This window comes from Homo sapiens, chromosome 15 (assembly GCF_000001405.40).
Source record: "Homo sapiens chromosome 15, GRCh38.p14 Primary Assembly".
Taxonomy (NCBI): domain Eukaryota; kingdom Metazoa; phylum Chordata; class Mammalia; order Primates; family Hominidae; genus Homo; species Homo sapiens.
Window position 1 is genome coordinate 93,159,735 of NC_000015.10, and position 14,773 is coordinate 93,174,507.

At 45.5% G+C, this 14,773-nt stretch overlaps 1 long non-coding RNA gene across 2 annotated transcripts in view; it reads left to right on the top strand.

Annotated features, from left to right (window-relative positions):
• The window catches only part of LOC101927025 (uncharacterized), an 83,190-nt gene extending 70,521 nt beyond the window's left edge, over positions 1 to 12,669 (top strand). For both annotated transcript variants that reach the window (XR_007064769.1, XR_243235.4), the window contains one exon: positions 10,709 to 12,669. This is a non-coding gene — a long non-coding RNA (uncharacterized LOC101927025). The remainder of the gene's footprint in view (positions 1 to 10,708) is intronic.
• The last annotated feature ends 2,104 nt before the right edge of the window (positions 12,670 to 14,773 follow it).

Here is a 14,773-nt window from a genome sequence, read left to right on the forward strand (position 1 = left end):
GCATACTCCCAAACCCCTCTCCAGACCTAGGGAACTGGAATTTTTTTCTTGGTTGGGCTGGAGAACCAGCCCTTTCATTTGAATCAGGTTCCACGGGTGACTTGGCTGCATGCTGAGGTTGGCGAGTGACCACTGACTAGTGTTTCCGAGTGTTTGCCACATTCAGGCTTTGTTCCACGCCTCCCTCTGCCTAAATGTGGCCTGGTCCCCTTGATCTGCTTGGGGACACTTATCTGTCAAGACTCAGCTCAGTGTCACGGCTTCAGTGGCCTTTCCTGACCCTCACCCGCAGCAGAGTTGGTGGTTCACTCCCAGTGTCCGGTTTCTTCCCTCCGAGGCACATACTTGTAAAGGCCTCCACCAAAGCCCCCTGGGCATTCAATCAATGCAGAGTTCTGTGTATACAGCTGAGCCCTCTAAAGCTGGAGTCCCCGAGGGCCAGTGGGCTCCTCTCCATATCCCAACCCCTAGGTGGGACCAGCCTTCCCCAGCTCCCCACAGCTGGCTGCAAAGTGAGGCAAGGGCTGCAGTGTTGAGGACAGCCATGAAAAGAGGAGGTTCCATTCCTGCCTCCCTGGCTGTTCTCCAGTCTTTTTTTTTTTCTTTTTTTTCTTTTTGAGATGGAGTCTTGCTCTGTCACCCAGGCTAGAGTGCAGTGGCGTGATCTCAGCTCACTGCAGCCTCCACCTCCCGGGTTCAAGCGATTCTCCTGCCTCAGCCTTCCGAGTAACTGGGATTACAGGCGCCCGCCACCGTGCCCAGCTAATTTTTGTATTTTTGGTAGAGACGGGGTTTCACCATCTTGGCCAGGCTGGTTTTGAACTCCTGACCTCGTGATGCACCCGCATCGGCCTCCCGCAGTGCTGGGATTACAGGCGTGAGCCACTGTACCCGGCCTCTCCAGTCTCTTAATCCCCATCACCACAACCTCAGGAGGGCTATCGTTGTTTTGATTTTCACCATAACTGGATTTTTCCTCTGCTGGAGGAGACTGGCAAAGCTAAGTATCCCTCGAAGTCCAGGACAAACAACGAACATCATCTATTCTCTATAAGGAGAGTTTCATTCAAATGGCAGGAAACTGTTCTTGTGGGATGGCTTGGCTCAGTTATTTCAAGCTTGGTTTTCTTTTGTGGGGTGGAGTTAGAGCTCATCTCTTGCTGCCTGTCAGAAAACTCTTCCTGAGAGTGTAGGAATTACTGTGTCGTGTGGATGACCAGATTGTTAAGGGTAAGAGCGAGAAACGACCAATGTCAGTGATACAATCAATTTTTTGCTTTCCACATTTTAAAATCAAATTCATTTGCTCTGTATAATAGACTGGACACATGTTTTCTTAGTTCGTCCATTTACTCACTTGTCTGGGAAGATCTATATTGGGGGGCAATTTTTGCTTTATTGAGAAGATAATGTAATCCATAATGAGAAATTTTCCGTCTTCACGCTTGTGCTGGGGACGGCAGGAGGCTGTGAATCGCTGATGGAGATGGATGGAGCCTGCTGTCCTTCTGAGTCCTGCGCCATGCTTGCCGGGGGCGGGAGTCACAGCCCCCAACTCAACTGTGTGAGCCGAAACCTGGCTTTTTCCAAGCATTTTGTTATGAATGCTAGATTCAAGGCACAATTTTTAGTTCTTATTTTTCTTTAATCCAACAGGAGGTTAACGTGTAGTCTTTGTAGTCAGACAACTTGGTTTCAAATTCTAGTTTGACCTCTTACTAGCTGTGTATTTGTGGACAAGTAACCTAACCTTTCTTTTCTGTGGTTTCCTGAAGGATAAATTGGGGGACCAAAATACTACCTTGCTGTCAGAGTTGTTGCGGGGATGATGATGATGATTTTTGAGACAGGGTCTCCCTCTGTTGCCCAGGCTGGAGTGCAGTGGCACCATCTTGGTTCACTGCAGCTTGGACCTCCCATGCTCAAGAGATCCTCCAGCCTCAGTCTCCCTAGTAGCTGGGACTATAGGCACGTGCCACCACGCCTGTCTTATTTTTGTATTTTCTTGTAGAGATGGGGTTTTGGTATTTTGCCAAAGGTGGTCTCAAACTCCTGGGCTCAAGCGATCTGCCTAACTCAGCCTCCCAAAGTGCTGGGATTCCAGGCATGAGCTCTTGGTCTATTGTGAGGATTGAATGAGATGGTGTGTGTTGTAAAGGTCTTAGCATGGGGCCTTGTCCTCAGTGGCTATTTTGTTTTGACAACACTCTCTTCCTTTATCTCCTGTTTGTTCTTTCTCAGTATCCTTTCTTGGCATTTTGTCTCTATTTGCCACTAAAACATGGACTTTCCTGAGGGTTCTATCTTTAACCTGTTTTTTTCCTTTCTTCTTATTTAGCACATGGTTTTAGGGGCGATTAAACTTAATCCTGTGGTGGCCAATGCTTCTCTCCTTGGTTATCACCCCCAGGGCTGGGCTTTCAGCTCAACTCCTCTGTTCCAAAGTTCGGACCACTTTGCTAAAGGCCTGCTGGGCATCTCCATGTGGCTGTTTCATGGGCACCTCCACGTCTGAAGTCATCTTACCATCACAGCCCCCTCCCCACCAGACACACTCAGCTGTCTCTTCTTTCTTGGGTGTCTAGTTCACAGTTATTTTGTTGCGGGACAATCAAAGACAGGAGAGACCGAACAGAGTGAGTTCAGGAAAGGTCTTTATTAAAAGGTGATCACCTGGCTCAGTAGGACCAGCATCCAGGAAAGTCTGAGCCCCGGACAAAGAAAGCAGCCACCTTTTAAGTAGTCGGTGGCCGGGAGCTACATGATGCAGGAAGTGTACTTACAGAATCGAGAACGAAGGCAGTTGATGAGTCTTTTACATTTATCTATACTGTATGTTCCACATCCCTGGGAAACCATGTTTCTGTATCAACCTTGTAACTTTGCAGCTGAGCTAGGGGGGTGAAGCAGGAACTCGCTGAGCCTCAGGGAGGGTGAAACTGGGGAGTACAGATAGGGCTCGCTGACACAGAAGGAAAAACAGGCAGTTAGTATTCTTCTCCAGCTTAGACTACGGGGGGCGCTACACTACACTTAGCTTTTGAAGGAAAAAGTAAAAATTGTTGGTGGTCTTTGATTATACTTGTAAAATTCATGAAGTCCTTCTTCAATTTCACATTCTGGACATTGCCTTTGAACATGTGTCAATCAATTAATGTCTCTCCTAAAAATGAAACTATTAATTAACATATGACCTTTAATTTTTTTTTCTTTCTTTGAGACGGAATCTCGCTTTGTCACCCAGGCTGGAGTGCAGTGGTGCGATCTCGGCTCACTGGAAGCTCCGTTTCCTGGGTTCACGCCATTCTCCTGCCTCTGCCTCCTGAGTAGCTGGGACTACAGGCGCCCGCCACCATGCCCGGCTAATTTCTTTTTTTTTTTTTTTGTATTTTTAGTAGAGACAGGGTTTCACTGTGTTAGCCAGGGTGGTCTCGATCTCCTGACCGAGACGGGGTTTCACTGTGTTAGCCAGGATGGTCTCAATCTCCTGACCTCGTGATCTGCCCGCCTCGGCCTCCGGAAGTGCTGGGATTATAGGTGTGAGCCACCTCGCCGGGCCGACCTTTAATAATTTTTAAAAAGGCAAACAGGTGATAAAACTCTTGTCCTTGAACCTTTCCTTTGCACATACAGTGAAATCAAAACCCTTCACAGTGGCCTAAGACTGGCCTTTAGCCTATCCTCCTTCACTGGCCCAGCATCAACAGACTGTATTGCTGAGCCATCCCAAACAACATAAGCACCAAAGTGGAGAAATGACATGTTTCTCTAAAAAACAATGTCTTTCTGCCGAAAGCAGAGCTTCAAATTGCTCATAACTTAGTACATGGCCAGAAATTACTGGTCATCAGAAGGAAAGTTGACCTTCAAAATGGACAGAGGAGGAGATAATAAATAGAGCCATGAATATTGGCATCGTGTGATCATAGCTTCATGTCTCCACATCCAGGGAGTGAGGGATGATTCACAGAATTTCAGTTAATTGTTCAATCCCCGACCTGGACATTGGAAGACTCTGGTTCTCATCTTGGCTTTCTCTTGAACAAGCCACTTCTTTTCTTCTGAACCTCAGTTTATCCACCCTTAGATTGAGGGGATTGAACTAGACCACTGGTACTCGTAGGAAACATTTGGGAAATTTGTGGGGACATTTTTTTTTTTCTGGGTCAGAGTCTCTCTCTGTCGCCCAGGCTGGAGTGCAATGGCATGATCGTGGCTCACTGCAACCTCTGCCTCCCGGGTTCAAGTGATTCTCCTGCCTCAGCCTCCTGAGTAACTGGGATTACAGATGTGCGCCACCACCCCTTGCTAATTTTGTAATTTTATGAGAGACAGGGTTTCACCATGTTGGTCAGGCTGGTCTCAAACTCCTGACCTCGTGATCCGCCCGCCTCGGCCTCCCAAAGTGCTGGGATTACAGACGAGAGCCACTGCGCCCAGCCATGGGGACATTTTTGACCGTCACAGCAATGAGGCAGGGTTCTACTGGCATTGGTTGGTGGGGACCAGAGAGTCATGGGACCCTGCGGGGCACAAGGCATCCTGAGCCATATCCCACTGACATTCCTCTGCTGGTCATTCACTGGGTACAAAACTTGTTGTGATGATCTGGGCCTCAAATCCCACTGTTTTACATATAAACTCAATCCACTATTTTGTGGTTTTAATATACACTGAGTTTTCGAGGAAGGTAAGTACTATGCAAATGGAAGAAAGTGTGTACTTTGTTTTGCTTTTAGCTTTACCAAGAACTGCTCACATTTTGGGAAATCACATCACTGATGACAACACCCTTCTTAGGGTTTGAAGTGCTGATGTCGTGCTCTCACACTTTACTTCTAACCATTGGATTCTTGGTGATTCGTATCTGTCACTGATGTGGTTTGGATCTGTGTCCCTGCCCACAATCTCACGTCGAATTGTAATCCCCAGTGCTGGAGGTGGAGCCTGGTAGGAGGTGACTGGCTAATGGGGGTGGATTTTGCATGAGTGGTTTAGCACTATCCCCTGGTGCTATTCTAGTGATCTAGATCTGGTTGTTTAAAATTGTGTGGCACCTCCCCTGCCCCTTGATCCTGCTTTTGCCGTGTGAGATGCCTGCTCCTCCTTCACCTTCTGCCATGATTGGAAGCTTCCTGAGTTCTCCCCAGAAACATAAGCCAGTGTTATGCTCCCTGTACAGCCTGCAGAATCATAAGCCAATTTAACCTCTTTTCTTTATAAATTACTTAGTCTCTAATGTCTACTAGAAAGTACAGAGGTAGAGGAGGGGCAGAAGAAAAAAAAAGACCAATGTAGATAACATACCGTACATATGAATACATAGTGTAAGCACCTGATGTATTCATTATGTTTTCCAGGTGTATTAGTGAACAAATGGAAAACATACCAGACTTTCATTGTATTGTGTATTACTTTACTTCTCATTTATATTACAGGGCATTATATTGGTTTTAAAAATTATGTACTTATGCCGGGCATGGTGGCTCACACCTGTAATCCCAGCACTTTGGGAGGCCGAGGCGGGCGGATCACAAGGTCAGGAGATCAACACCATCCTGGCTAACATAGTGAAACCCCATCTCTACTGAAAATACAAAAAATTTGCCAGGCGTGGTGGTGGGCGCCTGTAGTCACAGCTATTTGGGAGGCTGAGGCAGGAGAATGGCGTGAATCCGGGAGGTGGAGCTTGCAATGAGCGGAGATCACGCCACTGCACTCCAGCCTAGGTGACAGAGAGAGACTCTGTCTCAAAAAAAAAAAAAAATTATGTACTTAGGCAGCTTATATGTCTATAGTTTCATTTAAGAATAGCCAAAGGGATGTTGTGAATTATTGTCCTGAACATTTTATAAAATGGGATGTTGGGTCTGACAAGGTTAAGAATCTTTGGACTGAATAATTTTCAGCTTAATACTTTAAGACAAAAAGGCCAGCCAGAACTTCTAACAGAGGGAATGAGGGGCACACTACCCGGGGAGATTGCATACCCGCTTCACAGTGGCAAGCCCTCCCACCTCCCACCCCCCGCCCCCCCTCATTTAAACAAATGCCAATTATTTACCCCTCCATGTCTTCCTCTCCCCTGGGAGTGGAGTCCACCCTCATAATCTTCCCTGGTAACTGTTGCTAGGAAGATGCTGCCTCTTGAGCTGACCTTCCAAAGGCGTGAGATCATAGCCGGTTGTCTCCCAGCTGCTGATGAGGGGATCAATTTTGCCCAGGAGAGTGATGGAGAAATAAGCAAACAGAGCACAAACAGCAACAACACACACAGGGTGCCAGGGACAACATGCAAGACACAGCAGTCGGGGGCTGTTTGATGTTGCTATTGTCTTCCATTCTGGGAGGTATAGGAGGAAAAAAAAAAGAACCATTACGATGGTCTGTCCCCTGCCCTTCCTTGTTATCACAGAGATGGAGACACCATAAGGGGACCTGTTAATTGGGCCTCTTTCATGAAGTCTGTCAGTAGAGTCCAGGCTTCAGAGCAGGCAGCATCCACTTCACCGCTTCAACTTTTGTGGCTCTATTCTTTTGCCACAGCTGAATAGTGATAACGATGATGACAGTGATAACGATAGGTGCCATTCATTGATACTCGCTTTGTTCCTGGCATTGTCCTAAGTGCTTTACATGAATTACTTCATTTAATCCCCACGGCAACCCTATGAGGGAGATTTCACATGCTCCCCTATTGTACTAATGAAGAAATGGCTCCCAGAGAGGAAATTGCTTGTCCAGCTCCTCCCAGCCAGCGAGCAGCAGGGTGGGATTTGATCTTAAGTCTGACTGGCCACCAGCTGGCCCATGAAGCCCTGCACTAGGATATACCGTGTTTTCTATGCTTTATTGACTGATTTTGATCATTTGCTTTTGGTATGAACAGATACAGGTGACAGTGCATGTGTGAATTCATTCATTCATTCATTCATTCATTCATTCATTCATTCTTCACCAGATGGGACCCAACGCTGTGCTTGCTGCCAAGCTCACTGGGACCCCAGTTGAGTAACACCCGCCCCCATCCCCAGGGAGCCGAAGGTCTGGTTCTCTGCGGAATCGAGCTTCTGCTGAAGGCTTGTTCTCGGTAGCACCCAGCCTCTTTGATCCTGTGGGGTCTGGGAGGGGCGGGGTGAGGGAGCACCCAGTTGCACTACACAGACGGTGGCAGGATGTTCATCTGTACAGGTGCTCATGAAACATTGGTTGATTGCTTTACCTTCCACCTTCAACCAGAGCTCCCAGGCCAGGATGCTAACCTCAGGATCAAGGGGAGGAACAAAAGCCACATGTCAGCATTCATTTATCTGCTGATCCTTGGTGTTAGACATTGCACTTCGTCTCATTTAATCTGCACATTGACAACTGGGATATGTGGGCTTCAAATGTGTGGCTCAGGAATAAGATTACTGGGCAAAACGGTGGGCAGGAATACCCTCTGCTCAGCCTGGGCTCAGTGAGGCATTCAGTGCAGGCTGCTGAATCTGCGATGAGCTTTCGACCTCTTTCTCTGACTTCCATTTGCTTCTGTGCAGGATTGAGCCCAAAAGAATTGAACTGGTGGATGTGGCAGAACCTCTGCCTGCAGATGTAGGGAGCTGCGTGACCAGGGTTTGCAAAGGGCAGAGGCAGGTGCCAGGAGATGCCTTTGCAGGTCTGCACTGAGGGCACTCGCTGGGCTGCTCCAGTGACTTCAGGCTTCCCTTTGCCTGAAAGCCTCAGTAGCGAGTGATGCTCCATCAGCTTCCAAGTTGCAGCCTATGCTTCAGCTCACTCCCACACTGGGCCCAAGGAGGGGCAGCAGCCAGGCTAGATCTCAGGGCTAAGCAGGGCTGAGCTGCTCATCAACACGGCCCATGCAGTGGTCTTTCTCTCTCTTCCACCCTTCAGCCCTTCCTTCTCTTGCTGATTCCCTTCTTCCCTCCTTCCCTCTCTTCTTTCCTTTCCTTTTTTCTTTTCTTTTCCCTCCTTCCCTCCCTCCCTCCCTTTTTTCCCTTTCCCTTCCTTCCTTTCTTCTTTCCTTCCTTCCCTCCTTCCCTTACTCCCTCCTTTCCCCTTCATTCCCCCTCCCTTCCCTCCTTCTTTCCTTCCTCCCTTCCCTCCCTCCCTCCCTTCCTTCTTTCCTTCCCTCCCTCCCTCCCTCCCTCCCTTCCTTCTTTCCTTCCCTCCCTCCCTCCCTCCCTCCCTCCCTTCCTTCTTTCCTTCCCTCCCTCCCTCCTTCCCTTCCTTCCTTCCTTCTTTCCTTCCTCCCTCCCTTCCTTCTTTCCTTCCCTTACTCCCTCCTTTCCCCTTCCTTCCCTCTTCCCTCCCTCCCTCCCTTCCTCCCTTCCTTCCTTCCTTCCAGAATCAGCATCAAACATCGAAAAAAACTCTGTTTTGTATTTTCCATACAGTACAATTCACTTTTTTTGGTGTATAGTTTTTTATGTTTTGACAAATGCATAATCATGCGACTGCACCACAATCAAGACAAAGGAACTTCTACCAACCCCCTGCTCTACCCTGCATGCTGCTCCTTTGTGATCATCCACTCCCGCTACACCCAGCCCCTGGCAGCCATCTGTTCTCTGTCCCTATAGTTTTGCCTTTTCTACAATGTAATATAAATGGAATCATGCAATATTTAACCTTTTGAGTCTGACTACTTTCATTTAGAAATTATGTTCACGATTCATCCATGTGATTGTATGTCTCAATAATTGCATTCCTTTTCCTGGCTGAGTAGCATTCCATTACACGGATGTACCGCAATTTGTTGATCTGTTCCCCAGCTGAAGGACATCTGGGTTGTTTACAGTTTTTGATGGTCACAAATAAAGCTGCCATAAACATTCACATATAGGTCTTCGTGTGAACATAGATTTTTATATCTTTTGAGCAAATATATTGGAGCAAGATTGTTGAGTCATGTGGTATATTTAACTTTATAAGAATCTGCCACACTTTTCCAAATCAGCTGTACTGTTTTACATTTTCACCAAGAATATGTGGGAGTTCTACTGCCTTCTTTTCCTTCCCAACACTTGGTATTGTCAGTTCTTTTTTTTTTGTTTAATTTAAGCTATTCTAATAGGTGCAAAATGGTATCTGGTTGTAGTTTTCATTTGCATTTCTCTAATGATTAATAACATTGAGTGTCTTTTCACATGCTTATTTGCCACCCATATGTCTTCTTTGGTGAAATGTCTATTTAAATCTTTTGCTCATTTAAAAAAACTGGGTTGTTTGTTTTCTTACTGAGTGAGTTTGAGACTGTAAAGAATATATTCTGGATAGAAGCCAGATATGTGATTTGCGAATATTTTCTCCCAGTCTGTGGCCTTAGAATAACATGGGTTATTTCCACAGTGAGAAAATTGGCTAGAACTAGTCTTGTGGTCACATGTGGTCACAAAGGGGCTGGGACATGCACTTCTACTCTGTGCCTAGAAAGGCAGAGAACTGGAGATATTAGGGGAATAGTACAAAGGACTGCTATACACACTGCTTATACTGTTTCAGATTCTGCATAACAATATTTCATGAATGTTCTTCCATGTGAGCAAAGTATTTCTCTATAGCAGAGATCCGCAAAGTATAGGCACGGGCCAAATCTGATCTGTTGTATGTTTTCATCTGGTCTGCCAGCTGTTTTTTTACAGACAAACATTTCAAATCAATTTGATGGTAAAGAAAACTGACTTTGAACTCCAATTCATCAAAATATTGTTAGTCCAGAAAGAATTCGATTATTCTCACTGGTTGACCTGTATTACAAAAAGTTGTAATTAATCATTCTTGTATTTTTAATTTGTCCAAAAAATGTGTGGAAATTTGTTTCCTCTCATTATTGTAAGTATTACAAATAATATCCTTGATTTTGGCTTGTGGCCCGCAAAGCCTGAAGTATTCACCCTCAGGCGCTTGAAACTGTTTGCCAAACCCTATTGTGTAGAATGGCTTTTCAGAGCTGCATGGTATTCTACAATTTTCAATCAGATGTACGTATTATAAATTCTTATGGACATATTGTTCAACTATATTGGTTCTAGATCCTTCCTATTCAAACAATGTAGCAGTATAGACCCTTGTGCGTCTATCACAACCATAATCATTGATCATTTCCTTGGAATAGATTTCTAGAAGTGGAACTACTGACTCAAAGGGTGGGTACATTTTGCAGATTTTTTTTTTTTTTTTTTTTTTTGAGATGGAGTCTTGCCCTGTCACCCAGGCTAGAGTGCAGTGGCGAGATCTTTGCTCACTGCAACCTCTGCCTCCCGGGTTCAAGTGATTCTCCTGCCTCAGCCTCCTGAGTAGCTGGGATTATAGGCACACATCACCATGCCCCGCTAGTTTTTTTGTATTTTTAGTAGAGATGGGGTTTCGCCATGTTGGCTAGGCTGGTCTCGAACTCCTGACCTCAAATGATCCGTGTGCCTTGGCTTCCCAAAGTGCTGGGATTACAGGCATGAGCCACCGTGCCCGCCCCAATTTGCAGATTTAGTATTTCTAAGTAACTCAGTATTTCTAAGTAATCTGTCAGAAAGTTAGCATTTCACATTCTCACCTGCAGTGAGTGGATAAATGTGCTTTTTGACTTGTACATTTTCCAAAACGAATGGTTCAATTTTATAATATCAGCCATGTATATTTCTTTTTTGTCAATGGCTTTTTCAAGCCCCGGTCTGGCTTTCTGTGGAATAATTCTTCATCCTCTGTTCAGCATCCAGCAGTGCCCTGGAAAAGTGGCTGTGAAGTTACTTGCAAGACTGCATTGAACCCGGGCGAGACACTTCTCAGGGGAGCTGTCCAGCTACATTCTCTGAGTGAAGGCAAGTGTAGTCACTTTTCTCTGCTATGTTAATATGTGCCATGAGTTTTAAAAGACTCTCCCTTCAGTCAGCGGATGACATCTGCTGCTTAGCAAGAAGGCAAAGCTCCGTTTGTCTAATCAGCTACATGTTGGGATTTGAAAACATGGCACCAAGACCCCTGAAAGATATGTTAGAAACAAGTTTTCTGGTTTGGGATTCATGAGAATTTCTTGGCTCCCAAGCAGACCCAACTTTAACAGTGACAGGGGCAGACATGTGGTGGAATGTGGGGAAGATTCTGGGAGCACCACCTGGCTATGAGAAGCTTAGGATATTTTCCCATGGTTAAAAATAAAATAAAGTCGATGTTTTGGAAAGTGGTGAGAAACAGATGGGGGTGAAGGATGAGTACCCCCATTGCATTGTTGAGGACCCTGAAGTTTACTCACATATCAGGGCTCATAAGTGAATTGAAGAAGGAAGCCAGGTGTCTTTGAGCCAGGTTGGCTCCACAGCAGCCAGACTACCCTGCTGCTGGGGAAGTCACAGAAGAGGCTCTGGCATAAGCACCAATTCTTAGGAGGCCACATAGTCATTCTTCTTGATGCTCATTGTTTTTAAGGCCCTGGGTGAGTGGAAGAAGATCTTTTGTTATGTGTGTCCTTGTCACCACTGATTTCTGGGATTCCACATTATTTTGGCTTATTTCTCCATTGATATAATTGTAACTTGTAATGTTAGAACTCTGGGAGAATAAATTCCAAATGAGCTCTTGATGTCAATTAATAGGTTCATGCCAATTTTCTTGGGTTTGGAGATGTGAAGATACACAAAAGAAAGTACAGTCTTTGCTTTAAAGCAGCTCACAGACTAATGGAGTGGATGCCACTGAACCAAAGATTCCAGTAAAGTATGAAAGGGGTCTAGAGATTTATGTCCAAGTTGTTCTGGGGCCATTTAGAGGAGGTGGGAGTACAGGATGATGGTAGGGGAAGGCTTCCCAGAAAAAAGAAATCGAGTTCAGGTTTTGCTGGAAAAAAAAAAGTGACCGGGGGATAAGTAGAAAGAATTGTAGAAAAAGGGAAGAACAGGTGCAGGCTCTCAGGCTCCCAGCCATCAGCTATCCCAAGTATTTCTTGAATTGTTGTGACATACCAGGCATTGCCCTTCATGCTGCAGTACAGTGATGTTCTCTAAATAAGGCTCAGTTGGAATATTTCAATCTCTCAGCAGTTTGCTTTCCTCACCTTGCCCCTTAAAAATTCCCCGGCTTGTGGGAATGGGAATGGAATTGTTGGAAAAGGGCAGAGTAGATTTTAAAAATCACTTCATTCCCTGTTGTGTGGGAAAGTTTCCCAGGAAGAGACTGCCAAGCCCAGGAAGATACATATATATGCAAATTCCCCGGCAAAATGTTTTCTAGCCCCTCAACCTCAATCTACAGAAGTTTCCGTTATCATAGGCTACAATCTGATGCAGTGTGTGGTCCTACCCTGACCCTATTTCAAGGGAGTTTTTCACAGACCTCATTACCACTTAAGTTTTTAGGAAGGGGCTTGAAAACAGAAGGAGATAGACTAAAAGACATTGTACAGGGACAGCGGGGAGCCACAGCCCTGCCTAAAGAATGAAAGTTGGTTGTTCTGGAAAGATGTACAAATAAGCCAGAAGAATAAAAAATGCTCACATTTGCAGAGCTCTTCACCATTTAAAAACCAATCCATTCCTCATCATGGGAAATTATCCCCAATTTGAAGATATGAAAATTGAGGCTTGGGGAGATTGAATGAGTTGCTACTAAAAGGACCTGGACCTGAACCCAGAGCTTTGACTCCAGATCTGCTGTTTCCTTCACGTATATCATTGTTATTGAAATCTCCATAGAAAAATGTGTCGTATGCAAAATTTGACAGGACACATCTCTCTGTCTCTCAAGAGCCTTCAGTGTGCATAGGGTAAAATTAGCTTTGAGTCAATATTGCCTTTTAAAATTTGTCACTCAGTTCTTGGGTCTTCTGTTCTAAATCCAATTTGAGTTTACAATTATGAGGCTCACCTTTTTTTCCTTTTTTTTTCTTTTGAGATGGAGTCTCGCTCTTGGTGCCCAGGCTGGAGTGCAGTGGTGCGATCTTGGCTCTCTGCAACTTTTGCCTCCTGGGTTCAAGCAATTCTTCTGCCTCAGGCTTCTGAGTAGCTGGGACTACAGGCACATGCCACCATGCCCGGCTAATTTTTGTATTTTTAGTAGAGATGGGGTTTCACCATATTGGCCAGGCTGGTCTCGAACTCCTGACCTCAAGTGATCTGCCCGCCTTGGCCTCCCAAAGTGTTGGGATTACAGGCGTGAGCCACCGGGCCGAGCCAAGGCTCACCTTTTAAAAACAGTTTGTTCTCTGAATGTTGAGGGGATTCATCAAGGTCAGTTTAGGGCAAGGCAGGAGGAAGTTCTTGGCTTATACTGAAGAAAAATCAGTATTTTTGTTGTTCATTTTGGGTTTCCCTAGTGTAAGATCTCACGTACAACAGCCAACAAGAAATCGGGACTTCAGGGCAGAAAGGGAGATGGGGAGGAAGCAGGGAGAGCAGGTGTCTTTGTCCATTTTGTGTTGCAATAATAGAATACCACAGACTGGGTAATTTATAAATAAGTTTATGTAGCTCATGTTTCTGGAGGAGGGGAAGTCCAAGAGCATGGTACTGGTATCTGATGAGGGCCTTTCTGCTGCTTCATCCCATGGCGGAAAGCAGAAAGGCAAGAGAGGGAGAGTAAGAGAGCAAGGGGGGCAAAACTAACTTTTATAACAAGCCCACTCCTGAGATAACTCTCCCACTGCCATGATAATGATATTAATCCATTCATGAGAGCAGAGCCCTCACGACCTAAGCATCTCTTGAAGGTCCCACTTCTCACACTGTTGTATTGGGGATTAAGTTTCCAACACATGAACATTCAAACCATAGCAGCTGGTAAAAAAGCCTCTCTGTGCTTGGAAAGCTGAGTACTTAGGAGGCAGGAAGTGAAAGAGTCAAGAGAAAGGCGAAAGAATGCACATGTTTTTTTCATGATGGCACTCCCAGGCCTTAGCCCAGACCTGGCTCAACGTTTGCTGTGTTGAAATGACTCATAACCAGCTATTGTCTGAATCAGGCTGAAGGGATTTGTCTTAGTCTGTTTGTGTTGCTATAAAGGAATACCTGAAGCTGGGTGATTTGTTTAAAAAATTATTTTACTTTAAGTTCTGGGATATATGTGCAGAACGTGCAGGTTTGTTACATAGGTATACATGTGCCATGTTTGCTGCACCCATCAACCCATCATCTAGCTTTTAAGCCCTGCATGCATTTGGTATTTTTCCTAATGCTCTCCCTCCCCATGCCCCCCACCCCCTGACAAGGCCCAGTGTGTGATGTTCCCCTCCCTGTGTCCATGTGTTCTCATTGTTCAACTTGAAGCTGGGTAATTTATGAAGAAAAGAGGTTTATTTGGCTCACGGTTCTGCAGGCTGTACAAGAAGCGTAGCATAGGCATCTGCTTCTGGCGAGGGCCTCAGGAAGCTTCCACTCAAGGCAGAAGGTGAAGGGGGAGCTGGTGTGTGCAGATCACATGATGAGAGAGGAAGCAAGAGCAAGGGAAAAGGTGCCAGGCTTGTTTTAACAACCAGCTCTCAAGGGGACTCTTTTGGGGCCTAATAGAGCAGGAACTCTCCCTTGTTACTATGAGGATAGCACATGCTGTTCATGAGAGATCCACCCCTGTGATCGAACAGCTCCTACTAGGCTCCACCTTCAAGATCGGGGATGAAATTTCAACATGAGGTTTGGAGGGTCAAATATCCAATCATAGCAGGATTGGAATGCATAATGGTGATTCTGGAAGTCTTTTAGGGAGAAATGCATCTGACAAGCAGGAGCAGTTTGTCACTGATATGCCTGGTCTTCCTAAAATGCTGATGCTGCTACTGCAACTACCACCT